Source organism: Homo sapiens, chromosome 5 (genome assembly GCF_000001405.40).
Source record: "Homo sapiens chromosome 5, GRCh38.p14 Primary Assembly".
Taxonomy (NCBI): domain Eukaryota; kingdom Metazoa; phylum Chordata; class Mammalia; order Primates; family Hominidae; genus Homo; species Homo sapiens.
This window is the reverse complement of record NC_000005.10, coordinates 92,911,519-92,912,115: the sequence shown is the minus strand read 5'-3', so window position 1 is coordinate 92,912,115 and position 597 is coordinate 92,911,519.

The window sequence follows — 597 nt, the reverse complement described above, 5'->3', positions numbered from 1 at the left end:
TCATCATTTAAGATGCATGTGCATGCTGCAGTTTACTGAAACATGATTGGTTGCTACATAAATCAATCTGATAGAGATCGGTTCCATGAAGAAGAGATAAATCATTAGCCAGAGCTTTTAGAATGTAATTCATTTTAGATAGTGATTATTGATGATTTAATTTTAGCAGTACATGTACAAGTCTAGACCATGATTTTATATAAAATGTTAACACAGAAGAATGTATTCATCTTAAAAGTGAGTATAAAGAAACCAATTAGAAATTTACATGCAAAACATGTTAATGAAGTGGCAGAGTTGTGAAGTCCACAAAGTTCTATTTATTAAACAAGTTAGAATGTTAGCATAGTCCTCGGGAAATTTTTAAGAAATATTTCCTTAAGACTCAGTGGTACAAAGAAGTGTCCTCAAACTTCATTTGACTTACCACACTCAGATGACTGAAGCTCAGGAATATTTTAGATATACATCTTATGCACCTTGGCCTCTAAAAACAATAGTTCTTCATGCCCTTAGACCCAGCACTTCTATTCATTTCAATTGAACAGCATTTAGTAGGAGTCCACCTGAGCCAAGATCCTGTGCTTTGAGATGCAC